Source organism: Homo sapiens, chromosome 17, assembly GCF_000001405.40.
Source record: "Homo sapiens chromosome 17, GRCh38.p14 Primary Assembly".
Taxonomy (NCBI): Eukaryota; Metazoa; Chordata; class Mammalia; order Primates; family Hominidae; genus Homo; species Homo sapiens.
This window is the reverse complement of record NC_000017.11, coordinates 13,530,980-13,548,333: the sequence shown is the minus strand read 5'-3', so window position 1 is coordinate 13,548,333 and position 17,354 is coordinate 13,530,980. Positions and strand designations below refer to the sequence as shown.

Genomic DNA, 17,354 nt, shown 5'->3' with positions numbered 1-17,354 from the left:
AGACCAGGGGTTTCTCTGACTCCTCCATGTGAGAATGACACAGAATATGGCCATTTACAAAGCAGGGAGAGAGCCCTCACTAGATGCTGAATCTGCCTACACCTTGATCTTGGACCTCCCAGCCTCCAGAACTGGGAGAAATACATATTTGTTGTATAAACCATCTTGTCTGTGGTATTTTGTTATAGCTACCCAAAGTAACTGTAACAATTTAGAGAAGTAATACAGATACAAAGTCATCAGACAATGAAAATGGCTACTGGAAACCATGAGAGTGTGAAAGTGAGAATTTAGACTTGGTTAGTATATTTAAATAATCAGGACTACTGTGCTGTGTTTAATAACACCATACCTGACGCCAAACGTGTGGTTTTTTTTTTTTTTTTTTTGGCTCACACCAACCAATTCTCCAACTCTCCAGACACCAAGTAGGTGTTCAACAACTCAATTCAATTCTGACACTATCTACCTGGAGTTAGCATCCTATCCCTGGAGTTAAGGGCTCAGTCCCTCCCACAAGGCTGCCCCATATCAGATGCTAATCCCAAGTCCCAGGCCTCCTGTACTTCTGACTGACTGGCTAAATATCAAGGGTTCTCATAACCCCTTTCTTAGGTTCAATAATTTGCCAGAACAACTCACAGAACTCAAAAAAGACTGTACTTATTATAACCAGTTTATTGTCAAGAATACAACTCAAGAACAGCCAAATGGAAAAGATGCTTAGGGCAAGGTGTGGAGGAAGGGCATGGATCTTCCCATGTCCTCTCTGGGTGCACAGCCTCCCAGCACCTCCGTAAGCTTTCTGAACCCTGGTTGTTTAGGGGCTTTTATGGAAGTTCCATTACATAGACATGATGAACTAAATCACTGGCCATTGTTGATTAGTTCCAATTCCAGCCCTTTCTCCCCTCCATGGAGGTTGTAGGGTGAGGCTAAAAGTTCCAACTCCCTAATGGTGCGTTGGTCTTTCTGGCAACCCGTTCCCCTGAAGCTATCTAGGGGCCCCCCAACCATCAGTCATCACATTTACTTGCAAAAGGCACTTATTACTCCCAAAATTCCAAGGGCTTTAGGAGCTGTGTCAGGAACTGGGGACAAAGACCAAATTTTTTTTAATGATCACAGGACTTTAAAAGGAAAGACATAGTGTTAGATGCTATGGGGAGGGATGAAGTTGAAGACTTATTTTCTTCCCTTGAGGTGAATGGGAGTGATGGATGGGTCTCTGTGTAAGACATGTGGTCATAGAATTTAATAGCCAAAAGAAATTTGGTAATCATTAAATCTAATGTATATTCTGTGACGGGTTCCTAGGCAACTGCAAAACATGAAATTCCATGGTTAAATAAGTTTGCTAAAAGTTGCATACCATATGAAGTTTTATACTGCTTAGTAGCCCATCGGAAGGTCTGAAAAGTTTTAGAGTAAAGATTAAACACATTTTTCTCAGCTCTCCCTACACTTGTCTCCAGAATCCCTTTTATCATGACACAAGTATTTTCATTTATTCAACAAATATTTATTGAACAACTGCTGCTTGGCACTGTACTACGAAAAGTTGGTGTTCTAGAGGACACAGTTTGAGAAATGATGATCTTGTCCAACTTCAGCGATTTTCAGGTGAGCAAATTAAGTCTATGAATAATCACATTTTAGTCAAAGGAGGTAGTTAAAGAGAGAGGCTGAAAGAGGGGGTGCCATTTCCATAGGGAAATCAGTAGGAAAAATCTACTGCAAGATAACGGCAATTAAGAAGCGTAATATGGGCTGGGCGCAGTGGCTCACGCCTGTAATCCCAACACTTTGGGAGGCCGAGGCGGGTAGATCACGAGGTCCGGAGATCAAGACCATCTTGGCCAACATGGTGAAACCCTGTCTCTACTAAAAATACAAAAATTACCTGGGCGTAGTGGCACACGCACTTGTAATTTCAGCTTCTCGAGAGGCTGAGGCAGGAGAATCTCTTGAACCTGGGAGGCAGAGATTGCAGTGAGCCAAGATCACGCCGCTGCACTCCAGCCTAGCAACAGAGTGAGACTCCGTCAAAAAAAAGAAAGAAAGAAAAAGAAAAAAGAAACATGATAAGGAGTTGTAGAAATGGTTTCAGAGGCAGATTCATTTTTTCCTGGGAGTGGCATATAAAGATAAAGGACTAGATAAGATGAAAGTGCTTGCATCTTAGTGGTGAGGAGTTGGTCCACGTGGTAGACAGTCAATTTTATGAAGTCAGAGAGGGCGGACAGGTGGAAATTAGTCAGATAAATGCACATACGCACTCTCTCTCTCAAACGACCCCCAGAGCTGGCAAGAGGCTGGAGATCAGATTCACCTGGTACTTTTTTTTAAATTATTTTGAGAAGGAGACTCGCTCTGTCACCCAGGCTGGAGTGCAGTGACACAATCTCGGTTCACCGCAGCCTCTGCTTCCTGGGTTCAAGCGATTCTCCTGCCTCAGCCTCCTGAGTAGCTGGGACTCTATAGGTGCGCACCACCACACCCGGCTAATTTTTGTATTGTTATTAGAGAAAGTTTCACCATGTTAGCTAGGCTGGTTTCGAACTCCTGACCTCAAGTGATCCATGCGCCTCGGCCCCCGAAAATGCTGAGATTACCACCTGATGCTTTTTAGCATTTTGCTGGATGTACTGAGTGATGCAGACATGAGCAACGGAGGTTTCTCCCGGGACTCCGTGGAGGAGGTGATGCAGCCGCAGCTCCAGGATCAGCAAACACTGGTGTCCTAAGCATAGTGGGGTTATTTCAGATGTCACAAAACCAAAATCTCTGTGGCCCAGTGGAGTGTAACAAAAGATACACAAACCTCTTCCATGCAGAGAGATACATAGCTCTCCGGTATAGCTAGGGAGAAAGAAGGAAAGATTTCTCAGATGGTGAAGGCAGGCCAATCGAAGAGAAAAGGCCAGAAATAAAACTCCACCACGATGAGAAGCAACCTCTGTGAGGAGTTACTGGGGGAAGAGTCCCCTGTGGAATGAGCACTGATGTCTCCATTCATTGTGCAGGTCCCTCTCACACTGCTTTCATTACTTGAACACTATCTGGTGTCATTAAGATATCAATTTTATTTAGGTATATCTGCATTGGCAGTTTAATTATGTCTGGGTAAGGCCCGATATTTATTCATGGGTGATCTTGGTAGTTGTCAGACACCAGCCTGAAGATAAAGGCGTCCATGCCTGAGGAATGCTAATGCTCCCCAGCCTGTCATTTGACAAGCGCACATGCCAGTTACTACCAAACTGATTATTTCAATCATTAACAACACATGCATCAGCCTCCTTCACCCGAGATTGCCACGTGCATTCATCTTTTCATAAACAGTTATCTGACAAGGGTGCTGAGAATTGATGTTCTGGGGGGAATTGCCCAACTTGCCTTAGCTACGGATGCAGCAAGCTGAACGCCCCGCTTAGCATCGTCATTTCATTAATCAGATTAGCACAACGCCCAATTGAGTGAGCACCATGTTCCTAAACAATCTCCAATCAGGGTTCCTTTCTGTTGTCCATGCTGGTGGCTGCACTTTTTTTTTTTTCCTGGAGGGTTCAGCTTTGCAGATCCTCTTAGAAAACTTGGATCTTTGCTTATCCCACCACCCATCCCATTTATAATAATTACTCTTGTTCCAAGGAGCAGGGTGCGGGGAGAGGCTCTGGGTTTGTGGAGGCGCCATCTGCTCCTTATTGCTCACCTGAGTCAGAGCCTCCTGACATCACTTCTCTGCAGCAATGAGAGCCAGATATCCACACAAAGAGGCTGGGGCTGTGCCAGACGGCGCAGGGCCTGAAAAGTGATGAATGAAAGAAATGTGAAACAGTAAAACTGCTCCCAGGCAGCGAGCCCTTCCTTCAAAGGGTGACTCACAGAAAAGGCAGTTTTGCCTTAGTTAGGAAGGTCGTCCCAGACCCCTACAGCTGAAGGACTAGCATTTGTTTCTCTACACTCACAGCTTGTGCAGATCGCATCTCACCCATCAGGGAAAAGAGAACACTCTGTTCAGTTTCACTAAGGCTTTTTGTTGCTCTTCTTCTTATGATGTAAGGCAAACTTCCAGGGTTTGGGTTTTTAATGGTTTTATATGATTACCTTTTCATGAGAAGCACAGTTATATTTATATTTTTAAAGCAAACCCAAAGTAAGAAAAAATGTATATATTTTCATCATATGAATGGAAAGCATTATATATTTTTTCTTTTCTTGGAATATTTTCATTTGATGACACCAATGGCATGATGATGATGATAATGTTTTCTATTTATTTGATGCTTTACTAATATATTCTTTTCAATTTTCACAAAAACTGTACTTTCTTTTTAAAAAGATTTTTGGAAACTGAGATGAAGAGACTTTGGGCAACTTGCCCAAGATAATGAGCTACTTAGTGGTAACCCTTGATGAGAGGGTTTTAAAATCCTACTTTTACCACTTAAAAGTCATCATAGAGTCCTGGTAGTCCAACATTCTTTGTGATGCTTCGGAATCCAGATCGATGGTTATTTATGAGATGGGATCTTACCCACTTTTGTTATGTAGCTCATTCTCATTCTTCTTTTGAAAAGCTTTAACAGTTAAAAATTCCTTTTTTATCATTGAGACAAATTCCTTATTTTTTAAAACATTTCCAACCAGTTCTAGATTTCCTTCTAGATTCACAGAGAACAAATCTGATTCTGCATGTATTAGGTTGGTGCAAAAGTAATCGCGGTTTTTGTCATTGAAAGTAATAGCAAAAACTGCAATTACTTTTGCACCAACCTAAAAGTAGTCACTGTCTTCAGATATTTAAAAACAGCCATAATGTCTTCTGGAAACTTCTCTTCTTCAGACTGATTCCAAATGTTGAAGTTGTGGCACTGTATTAGTCTGCTTGGGCTATGTCAGAGAAAAAAAAATATTTTTTCTCTACTTCCACACATCTCTCGATATAACACTTCTGACACTACATTCTCCAGCACACATCATCTGGGTGTCTTATTCAATTCAGTTCCGACACCATCAACCTGTAGACAGCATCAGATATCATAGGTTAAGGGCTCAGTCTCACAAGACTGCCCCCCACTTTAAATGCTTGTTGCGATTAGTATACCTCTGATTGATTATCTGGCTATAAATTGGGGTTTTCCATGAACGCTTCATTAGATTTGTTTAATTTGCTAGAGTGGCTCACAGAACTCGGGGAAACACTTATGTTGACCCACTTATTACAAAGGATATTACAAAGGATACAGAGGAGCAGCCAGATAGAAGAGATGCATAGGGCGAGGTATGTAGGAAGGGGTTTGGAGCTCCCAGATCCCTGGTTGCACCAACCTCCAGGAACTGCTGTGTGTGCAGCTCTCTGGAAGCTGTCAGAACCCAGTCTTGGGTTCTTGTAGAGGTCTCATCACATAGGCATGATTGATTAAACCACTGGCCATTGGTGATGAACTCAATCTTCAGCTCCTCTTTCCACCCCAGAGGTGTGTGTGTGGTGGTAGTGGGGGAGCTGAAAGTTTCAACCCTCTAATTACAACATTCCCCTGGCAACCATCCCCCATCCTGAGGCTATCCAGGAGCCCCCAGCCACCAGTCATCTCATTAACATTCACAAAGAAATTTATTGCTTTAGATTCCAAGGGTTTTGGGAATGATGAGCCAGGAAACAGGAAGACCAAATATCAAAATATGGTAGCCTGTGATATTTCGAAATATCACAGGCTACCATAACAAAGTGCCACAGGCTGGGGGACCTAAACAACAGTTTATTGTCTCACAATTCTGGAGGCTGGAAGTCTGAGATTGAGGATGGGTAGGGTTGTTCTCTCCCGCGACCTCTCTCCTTGGCTTGCACATGGCCACCTTCTCTCTGTGTCTTCACACAACCTTTCCTCTGTGCAGACATACTCCTGGTATCTCTTCCTCTTCCTTTAAGAACACCAATTCTGTTGGATCAGGGATCTACTCTTCCAACCTCACTTAACCATTTTTTTTTTTTTTTTTTGGAAACAGAGTCTCGCTCTGTTGCCCAGGCTGGAGGGCAGTGGCGCAATCTCTGCTCACTGCAACCTCCACCTCTCCCGAGTTCAAGTGATTCTCATGCCTCAGCCTCCCAAGTAGCTGGGACTGCAGGTGCACGCCACCATGCCCAGCTATTTTTGTATTTTTTATAGGGATGCAGTTTTGCCATGCTGGCCAGACTGGTCTCAGACTCCTAACCTCAAGTGATCCACCTGCCTTGGCCTCCTAAACTGCTGGGATTACAGGCATGAACCACTGTGCCCGACCCCTCATTTAACTTTAATAACCTCCTTTAATGCCCTTTAATCTTCAAATACAGTCACATTGAGAGTTGAGGCTTCAACTTACCAATTTTGAGGGGATATAATTCCGTCCATTCCAGGTATCAATGAAGTCAAGGCATCCATTCCTTCAACATGCTTTACTACATGTACAGAAACCACAGCAAGTCAAGATTGTTCACAGTTGAAAGAGGTTTCTGGAGGTGTGTGAACCATCTGAACTTCATCCTCTTTCTTCAAGTAGCCTTCAAGATTTGTGCCCACTGAACGAATGCTATGGAAACTGCCAACAGATGACCATCTGGTCACGATGTTCAAAGGCTCAACCTAAACAACATTGAAAATTACCAAAACTAAGGCAAAGGGTATGATTCTACTAAAGAAAGAGACTCCTTAAGGAGCAAGAGTCTCTAGGAACTGACTCTTCAGCAGTACTGAATGTAAAATTGGAATAACCACCCTCTCAAATCTCAGAGAAACTGGACTTAGGGCTCTTTTTTTATTAGAATGTGTTTGGGAAGGTGGACAGGGTGATTGTATCAACTGGCCCTTCCATTCCCAATGTGTGTACCAAGAGCGAGTGAGACAGTGATGAATTACCCAGGATGAGGTTAGAATAATTTAATAAAAAGAGGTGGAAATGGGGTCTTTAATTCCTAACCTTTTGAGCTGTGGCTAAAATCCATTAATAGAACATGGATTAAGAGTCCAAAGTAAGATTACTCAGCATCACCCGCCAGTGAATCACTCTGGCACTTGGGTCAGAATTAATATCTGAGAATTCTTTGAAACTTTATGGCTGGAATTTTTCTTTCCCCCTGGCTTGGCTTCTTTTGTAGTCTTAGCCTCTTTAGCAGAGGAGATAGGAAATCTTTGGCATCCATTCAAAAACTCATTCAAACCACAGAGTAGAACTTTAAAGGAGGCCTTTGGGGATATGTGGGGTCAGTTGGAATAGTTTATATCATAGCTTTCAGTTTAAAACAATTTTTTACAGCATCAGTAGGGAGAATTATATCACAATACATAAATAGATTTAGCAGGATTTACAAATCCACATGTGTTCCCTTAAGCAGTAGTTTTCAAATATTTGATGACCTTAGAACTCCTAGTTCAAATGAAATTTTACACTGAAGTGAAAATGAACACTGATAAAAGGGGAGTTTCTCTGCTTAAATAAGGATGTGAGGTCCCAGAGATCCCTTCTGCCTTTCCCTTTTGCTCTTTTGGGTAGCCCCTAAGGGGAATGAATGCCAAGATCTTCCAGGAAGATAGATTGAATGCTTTTTCTCTAGGAGACTCTTGTTCTACAGTGAAGTTCGCTCAATGAACCACAGAAATGTGTGAGCAAAGGCTGATCATTAAGTGGTAAGTCACACCTCTCCTTAAGTTTTGAAAAAATATTTTGAAAGTGATATCTGGTCTTCCAACGTAAATGCAGAGATGAAAGAAACAGACTTTTCTTTCTCCACAGCAGGAGCACTTAAAAGTCTTTGACTATTTAAACTACTGGAAAAAGGTACATTTTATCAATTGAGCATGCATTTTTAGTCCATCAAATCATACAATGTTGAAGATGGAAGGAACCCTAGAAATTGATATCAAATGAGGCAATTACACAAAATGCTTTGGAACCTGTGAAACATTTTGCAAGAGTAAAATTTGATGATGATATTTAACCCTTTCCACTAACTAGAGCTTTAATGCACCTTTAATGTTTAACCCTGAACCCTTTGGCAAGAACTCAGAAAGGGAAAAACCACCCTGCCCAGTGTCAAGCTGCTGGTCAGTGACACAGATAACACTAGAACATTATAGATTGTTGCTTGAAGACATTGTGATCTGTCACAAAAGCCTAGGAATCAGAGGTCAATCAGAAATTAGAAAGAAATCGTTTACTTTCTCACTCACAAAAATATGTTTTATTTATACCTAAGGTGGATCCCAAGGGACTACTTTCTGTTGGAACACAAAAGAGAAGTCTATCAGTCTTGATCTGCAAATCTAAACCATGTTTTAGAGAGGGGATTTAGGCTTATTTACTAACTAAGCCCAAACTGGGGTGCCCAGGAGCACCCTCTCTTTGTAGCTCTAGTGACACATTTTGAGCAAATGGGTGGAATCTCATCTTACATGGTTGGTGGTGAGCTTCTAAAATGAGTAAAGAAGTTAAAGATCATACAAAATCAGAATTTTTTTCTGAGGACCCTTCAGACTCTTAGAAGCTCAACGACAAATCATGTGTTAATACTATTGTCTATGGAAATTTCACTGACATGTTCCTTTTCCTGTGACATTGGAAGCTAACGTCTCTTTCGAATTGAGGAAGGCAGCATAAATAAGGTGTTTTGTCTTCTTTGTGCTTGATTGCTTGAATATGAATCATGTGCTCTGATTCCTAAACAAGTTGCCTGTTTGACTTACAAATTGACTCATGGTGCTAGAACTGGTCTGAAGCTCAAGTCAATTTGAAATGAGAATCCAATAACAAACACGCAGTGATGTTTAAAGAAAAAGATGTTCTTTGCCAATGTCTCTAACCTGTGAAGTGAAATTATGGAGAGTGACCACTAACTCCCTGAGCTGACCATTAGTACCCTCATCCACGCTAGGGTTGAGAAAAACATTGGGAGCTAGTACGGTTGACTGTCTCCATAGATATGCCAACTATTTCTCCCACCCATATTTGTGCATTCCATTTACCCCATCCAGATACGGAATCATGGAATCTAATTATGTTCACTCCACTTGGATTTGAGCTGGCCTTGGGATTTGCATCAGCTACTAGAATGTGGCAGCAGCAATGTTGTGCCAACTCCAGGCTTAGCCACTTAGAGCCCTGACAGCTTCTGCTGTGGCTCACCTTGGAGCCCTGAGCCACCAAATAAGGAATTCAACAACCCTGCTGAGGAGAGGCCCAGACAGCTCCCAGATCTTCAGCCACCACAGCTGAGGACCCAGATATGTGAGTGAAGCCACCTCGATATCATTCTAGCCCCAGCTGACCTCTCCGTCAACTAAAGCTAAATGAGTGACTGTAGCTGATATCACATGGAGCAGATGAATCACTTAGCTGAGCCCTTTCTAAATTTCAGAATTATGAGCAAATAAATGTTTTGTATTGTTGCAAGCATTAAGTTTAAGGATGCTTTGTTAAACAGCAGTACATGACAGTTAGTTGGCCAAGAGATTTCTGATAGATTTTGTTTTATAGACTCTTCCATGATCCTCTTCCTTCTCCAGATAGGCTCTCCTGCTTTCGTGTCCCCTGATTTTACCCCAAATCTTGATTGAAAAGAAAAGCAAAACCAAAACACCTGGGACTTCCTCATTGGTAGATGCTGCACAGTCTTCCTTTCCTTCCAAGCAGATGATGTGGTTGGGGGATCTTGCCTGAGTCTCTTAATGTTCTCACCTTTCAGGAGTGGTCAGAAATGTGGGTCAGAGTATTATGCTGGCATTCGGTTTTCATTTCCCATTACAGAAGAAGACATGGACAGGTGGCCCACAATTACTTTCTAAAGAATTCAATACCCCAGGGAGAAGGGGTTAGTGATAAGCATCAGAAGTGAAAAATTAGACAATTGTTGGGTAACCGGGGTAAGCGGAATGAATTTCTAAGAATTTCTAAGTGCTACTATGAAAATAGCAACAGACAACCTTGATGACTTGCAAAATGGTCAGATCACTTCTGTGGCTAATCGGGATGGCTTGGAGTCAGTCAGTAATTGAGCCATTTCAGTCAATTCTGAAATAAATTTGTCTGCAAAAAAAGTAGAATAACCATCTGTAAACACAAAGGGTTTATCCCAGTATCCAATATCATGGTGAATTTCATTCTGCAAAATGCAGTTGCTGGATGTTTAACCATTAAGTAGTAAGACACATTATTTCTGTTGTATTAAAAAACACTATAGAGATGATGTGTCATTTAAAATACACAAATGTAGCCCTGACAGACCAAATAGATGTTTCTTAATACAAGCATCTTTTGAAACCCTGGCACAGTAAAGCAATCGCTAAAGAATGTTTATTGTATTAGTTGAACAAGTCCGTTAAATCCAATAATGTTGTCACCTAAGAAAACACCAAAGCTGAGTTTTTAACCTTACAGAAATATTGATGGCATAAAGTGGAGGCTGATGAAATAAAGATTTCTTATTACTTTTACTACCTTGGAATAACCTTCTACCTGTGAACTGTAGGAAAATGCTTTGCCAGTGCCACCACCTGCCCTCCAGGGTAGCCCTACCCTCAGTTGACAAGTGTTCGTAGAAATTTTATAGGAGTTTTCAGTGAGGCATCAGTTGTCTTTAATACTTGAAAGAAAATTGAATGGAAGGATCCAATTACTCATGTGAAAAATGAATCTTCTACCCAAGGTTTGGCCACTGCTGGTATGCTTGTTTTAAAACTGAATTATAGGCGCAATACATTTGCCAGAGACACAGGCATTAATTTCTCTCAAACCATTCAAGATTGGGAGGACAGAATAGAAGGGAGCAGAGAGAAAATAAGATGATAAGAGCTTCACGTTGATTTATTCACCTTTGTGCAAAGTAATGGGGACAAGAGGGAGGCGGCCCCCGGAGCCTGGAAGAGAGATGGAGGAGCTGAGAAAGGAAGGATTGCAGGGCAGCCTGCCAAATAGAAAGTCAGATTGTTGTTCTTAGATGATATAAGATTGCTTTATTTCTCTAGTTGCTTTATAAAAATACATATGCATAAAATATGCCACACGATGCAGCTGGAGTGAATGAAGTCCACTCTATTTATCCAAGAAAAGATTGTATTCCTAACCTGCCTGTCTGTTAGCTCATTCTCTTAATAAAGATAAACTGATCCTCTACCTAGCAGAGCTCAGGCTATGATTCCAATGTGTTTGATGCTAGGAGTGCATGAGTGATTGGCTCACGACGTGCCCTAGGCAGATGGATGGATGGATGGATGCTCTGAAGCACAAAGTTGACACCATACAGAAGTCTGCGTATGTGAGCTATCATAGTTGCAGAGGAGGTACTGTCCTTCGCAGACCTTACGTCAGGTCACTTAGCATAGGTGGGAGAAGTATTGGACAAGGAGTCTGTGCAATCCTCCTCAGCTACTAACTAGCTCCATGCAGGACTAGGCTCATAATTTTCAGGGCCCAGGGCAGTAAGAAAATGTAGGGATCCTTGTTAAAAAGAAAAATGAGAATTTTAAGACTGCAGTGTCAGTGCATTAAACCAAAGGCAGAACCCTTCTAAGTATGGTGATCTTTTGAGTGCAGGACTCTGTGGGACTGCATGGGTTACATGCCCAGAGAGCCTAACCTGGCTCCATGATTTTGTGACAAGAAGCTTCTCATTTGGGACTGTCAGTTTCCATGTGTTAAGAGAAGCCAACTGGAAGTGATCAGCAGCTTTCACCCTAGGGGTGTTAAACGTGGGCGTGGTCAGTTAGCAACATTAATGGTGAGGTTGGATCTTCTCTGTATTATGGAATTTGAATCTTAATTCCAAGAAAACTTTCCCCTTCCTGTTTTTGGAACCATGTGACAGTGCAGAGGGGAATACCCACTCTCTTGGGTACCCAGGAGATGGGGAGCAGAAAGCTTGTGTCCATTGTCTTATAGAGCAAAAGAAAACTTATATTAACAAAGAGTATATTTTCTCACGTCTATAAAAGAAAATCAAGTCCATTCCATAAATTAGCCCTTGACTTTCTTCTAAAACAACTTAATTTTTTTTTTTGTCTCCAAACAGAAATTTTAAAAAATAGCATAAGCTCATTTATCTTGGAACTGACATTGCAGGCAAAGTTGTCAGGTTTATCTCTTTGAAAAGAGACCTTGAAACCAAAATGCCTTCTTTCAAGCTTGGGCTCTGAAGTTGAACTTCTGGGAGATGACAAATGAGAATGGGATGAAGTATAACTTTTCTTATTTTAACCATAAAAGTATCGCTAAACCCAAGCATATTACTTGACTTATAAGTTCTGAGAAATAGAACTCTGTCCAGCAGTTGCAAGATTAGTAACTGTGGTTCTCTAGGTCATTTTGGGAAGGTTCTGGAGTCACCAGAACCTTGCTGATATTTCAGTTTCTCATCTTAATGAAAGAATCTAGTATAATTCTGTGAATTTGCTAGTTTTCCCTGTTCACACCCCAGAGGGTAGCCAATGGGTCAGTAAAACCTTAGAAACCATTCATCAGCATTGGAAAAGCCATTTGATACCAACTTGCCATTTTGCAATGAACAGGTGTGTTTCTGACTTATACATATTTTTACTTTTTTAAGAAAGATTTTTTTTAAGAGGGAGAAGCTGATTTGGAAGAACAGACATCCCAATATATTTGGCCTATTTTCATGGGTTTTTAATTTCTTTTTTTTTATACATCCATTTAACAAATGCAGTTGATCCTCACTATTCACAGATTTGTGTCTGCAAATTTGCCTACTTGCTAAATTTATTTGTAACTCCAGAATCAAGACTTGTAGCACTTTCACAGTCATTTGTGGGCATGCCCAGAGCTGCCAAAAATTTGAGTTGCTTGAGGTTTGCAGCTGAGGTTGAATGAAACAACACTCTCCCTTCTTGTTTTAGCTCTCATACTGTAACCTGGCTTTCTTGCATGTATTTGGAGACTTGGTTTTTGCACTTTCATGCTTTTTGTTGATTTCACTGTTTAAAACGGCCCCTAAGTGTAGTGCCAAATTGCCATCTAGTGTTCCTAAGCACAAGAAGGCTGTGATGTGCCTTGCAGGGAAAATACATATGTTAACAAACTCCCTTCAGGCACAAGGTATAGCACTATTGGCCATGAGTTTAGTGTTAATGCATCAACTATATATTAAATAATGTGTCTTTAAACAGAAACACATAAAACAAGATTATGATTTGAGCATTTGACAAAATGTGACCAGAAACTCATAGGAACCTAGCCCTATGTTTCCTCTAGGAGCATTGGTTCAGTATTCACTAATTAATGTTTCATTTTATTTATTTATTTATTTATTTATTTTTGAGATGGAGTTTTGCTCTTGTTGCCCAAGCTGTTGTGCAATGGCACAATCTCGGCTCACCACAACCTCTGCCTCCCAGGTTCAAGTGATTCTCCTGCCTCAGCCTCCCTAGTAGCTGGGATTACAGGCATGCGCCACCACACCTGGCTAATTTTTGTATTTTTAGTAGAGACGTGGTTTCTCCATGTTAGTCAGGCTGGTCACGAACTCCCAACCTCAGGTGATCTGCCTGCCTTGGCCTCACAAAATGCTGGGATTACAGGTGTGAGCCACTGCACCCTGCCATTATTTATTTTTTTGAGACAGGGTGTCACTCTGTTGCCCAGGCTGGATGGCAGTGGCAGCATCATGGCTCACTGCAGCCTTGATCTCCCTGGGCTGCAGCAATCCTACCACCTCATTCTCCCAGGATGCTGGAACTACAGGTGCATGCCACCATGCCCGGCTAACTTTTTTTTTTTTTTTTTTTTTTTTTTTTTTGGATTTTGTAGAGATGAAGTTTCACCATGTTACCCAGGCTGGTCTCAAACTCCTGGGCTCAAGCAATCCACCTCCCTCCACCTCCCAAAGTGCTGGGATTACTGGTGTAAGCCACCACACCTGGACTGCAGCAACTTTATAGAACATAATTACTTAGAATAACAAGAACTGACTGTATGTGTTGAGAGTCTGCTCTGTTCAAATGCCCTGAAGGAGGCAAAGTACAATAAAAGGTATCCTATCTTCAAGGAGTGTGTTTAATGGCAATCTTTTCCGTTTTTGAGTACTTGTTCCAAGCATCTTAAATATGTATCTGCTTTAATTTTCTCAGTAACACTGTAAGTTAGACATTAACGCCATTTATAGAAACAAAGACTTGAGTTATCTCAGCTACTACTAAGTAGAGCAAGCAGGATTTGGACTGTCCACATCATGCATTCATCCTATCACATTCTTCTACCTACCTAGTCAAGGGGAAGAAAACTTGCAGGTTATGGTTTCATAACAAGACTCTAATGCCTGTGATTGCTTCGGGATCTATGGAATTGAGACAAACGAAAGTACCCAAATTGATATTTCTGGCTAGTTTTCTTAAAAATACTAAATTCATCCTAATTTCTTTCTCTCTCTTTCTCTGAGACATCTGTGAAAATGCTCTCAGAGAAGCTCTTCAGGGATTTACAGTCCTTCCTATGTTAAGTTCTTTCTCTTCTGATTTGTTACATTAAATAAGGCAGGAATTTTAAACAAGCAAGAAAAGAACTTTATACTCTAGACTATGATCTTTGACGACAATAAATGTCACTGAAGATTTTGTTTGGTTCTGTTTCTTTTTGGGTTATTGCTCTCCTATTTGATCAAATTATAGACCCTATCTAAAGCTTTAGGAAGTTGTTTCCATGAAAGTAACATCTTTCTATCGTGATGCAATCAGATTTCTCCTGCTTTTTGTTATTTTGATTTAAATTCTTTGCAATGAATGGAACCAATCTCAAATGACAGATACAGAGTTGCCTTAAAAATTAGTAACTTCAGTTTATAAGTATTCTTTGTATATTTTCATTATTATTTTTCTTACCTCCCCTTTAAAGGTCTGGGAACTCATTGAAAACAGAGTCTCTGTTCCAGACCTTTCTCCTTCCAAACAAGACTTAGGACGATGACATTTCCTTTTTCTGTTTCTTCAAGGTTGCTGTGAGGATAAAGTGAGATAACCTACAAAGTCACCTTAAGCAGTGTGTGGATTGTAGCAGATATGTATTAAATATTCGTTTCTTTCCTATTTCCCTTATTAAGCAGTTTAATTACTATTCAGCAGTGCATGCCATTTACAAGGTTGGTAAGCAAATGTGAAAGCCTAACTTGACTATATATATTAACCTTATACATGTAGATATTTTACACTTTACACAGTTCCCCCCTCCTCCACAATCTTGACATATTCTATTCAATTTAATTCTTACAGCAACACTATAAAAAGGATGGAGCAGGTGCTGTTGTCCTTTTTTGATAAGATGATGGAACTGAGGTCTAGAGTGGATGAGATTATTCAGGGTGAGATCCAGATGTCACTGAAAACAGCCTATTATATTTCCTCCATTTTTATCATAAGTCAAAGCATGTGTGTGTGTGTGTGTGTGTATATAAACATATACACACACACACACACGTATATGTATTTGTGTGTGTGTAACCATAACCATATTGTTTACTAGTTGCAAATATGTCTTGGAAATACTCAACAAAGATGATAAAAAACACCAGAACCTGAATCCTGCATGCTGCTCTCTGATGCTTCTATCTCCTGCTGCCCAGATGTCCCCAGTTTCAGACTTTTGTCTGATAGGACTATGGAAAATGATTGTCTTTGCCCATCTTCAGTATTCCATCAGCAGATATTTAAGAGCGACTCTCTCGTAAACTCCTAATACCCATCTTGCTTGTGTTGATCTCCACTTTATTCCCCTTTCATTCTGGCCCCCCTCGGGCCCTGGACTCTCCTGGAAAACTCATTTCCTCACGATATTGCCTCCATCTCCTTGTTGCTAGGTGTTCAGCTAGCTCCTGAAGCGCTAGGCTTTGTTTCTCAGTTTCTAAAACCCAGGCTTCTTTGAAATTTGCTTCTGACCCCCAACAGCCTTAGGACCCTGTTTCCTAATTTGAACTCAGCATTCTCCTGGTCAGCCCCTGGTCTTCCTGGCACCATTGCTAACTAGAACCACTCTACCTATGCCCCGCTGTGTTACCTGATGACAATCAGATCTTTTGCAAATGCAATGGTAAAGGAACACAAGTGCAGCCAGTGCTTGGGAGGGCATAAGAGATGTGTAGAAGATCCTGTGTTCAGCAGCCCGTCTTCATCTGAAACAGAACTGCCAGAGAAGTCATTGGTGAACTAAGTCCGTGGCTTCTCCCCTTAAAGTACGCTGTTTCAAGTCATCTGGCTGATTGTGCTTGCAAAGAGCCTTGATTTTGAGCTCTAACTACCAGCCGCTAATTCAAGCCTGGCCTCTGATCATTCATCTTTTAAGTGTTCAGCTTCTGAATCCCATTTGATTCCCTGTCCCCTCTCTCTTTCCTACCACCTCCCCTTGATGTGGCCAGAATAGTTAACTCAGACAATTAGTAAATGCTGAATCATTGAGTCAGTGAATAAGGCAAGTGTCTGTGTGAGGTATACAACTTCCTGAGTGGGTTTAATGGAAGCCTAAAGAGATTTTTCACAGATTCATGGGTTTTCAAAGGAGAAATTTGCATATTAATAAGAAGCTGTTCAGACTGATTCGCTTAATGTGTTTGGAGTAAGTATAATTAAATGTCAAGGGAGATATATCATGAAGTAATGAAGCTGAAGCCAATTTATCAAAAATAAGGTCTGGAGAGAGACATTTCAAATAATAAACAGTTCTCTAACCTTCCTTTTTAAGGTGATTTGCTTAGTCTGGGCCAAGATTTACATGTTTTTTGAGACTTGGTTCAAACAAAGATGCTGGGAACTGGGTGGGGGTGGGGAAGGAGAATGAACATTTTTTCCCATTCAAGTTTATAACATTCAAGGAGGTCTTTCCTGTCTGAAACACTTTTAAAGGGGACAAAACCTATTTCGTTTTTCTCACTCAGATATCGGGATGTGGGTAGGATCAGCACCCCACCCAAACTCCACCATTATAGCTGCCATTTGAAAACTCCTGTTCTGATGAAAGGGAAGGTGATATGCAACGGGAGCTAGTTCATCAGGAATTGCAACTGTGAGAAAAATGGATGAAAATACAACCCCGAGTTCTTGATTTTGAAGAGTGAGCTATTTACTAATGGACATGTTTTAAGAGTTGGTCATTCTTTGAGCAAAGTCAACCCATGCTTTGCTTTGAATTCACTTAGGAAAGATATCGCGATAAAATTGCACAGCCATCTTTTTGTGCTTATTCCCTAAATGCTTGATTAAATTAAGAAGTTTAAGCTCATGCAATACATGGATTCTCTTGAGTTCAGATGACACTGAATCGACCTCAGGAATAGTTGCTTGACCCAATCAAATGGAAACACTCAATAGCATCTGATTCTGTTT

At 41.0% G+C, this 17,354-nt stretch overlaps 1 protein-coding gene and 1 non-coding gene across 4 annotated transcripts in view; both read left to right on the top strand.

Annotated features, from left to right (window-relative positions):
• HS3ST3A1 (heparan sulfate-glucosamine 3-sulfotransferase 3A1) overlaps window positions 1-17,354 on the top strand; it is a 107,898-nt gene that overhangs the window by 53,596 nt on the left and 36,948 nt on the right. Inside the window, exons 1-2 of one of the 3 annotated variants that reach the window (XM_011524114.4) lie at window positions 391-7,670; window positions 9,015-9,267. The exons of 1 other annotated variant lie outside the window; for it this stretch is intronic. In XM_011524114.4, the coding sequence (XP_011522416.1) occupies window positions 9,266-9,267 (2 nt within the window). In that variant the 5' untranslated portion in view covers window positions 391-7,670; window positions 9,015-9,265. Of the gene's footprint in view, window positions 1-390; window positions 9,268-17,354 lie in introns of those variants that run through there. One more of the 3 variants, XM_047437228.1, reaches the window with a different exon arrangement.
• MIR548H3 (microRNA 548h-3) lies at window positions 4,688-4,805 on the top strand. The gene has a single exon (NR_031679.1). It is a non-coding gene; the product is annotated as a microRNA 548h-3 (primary transcript).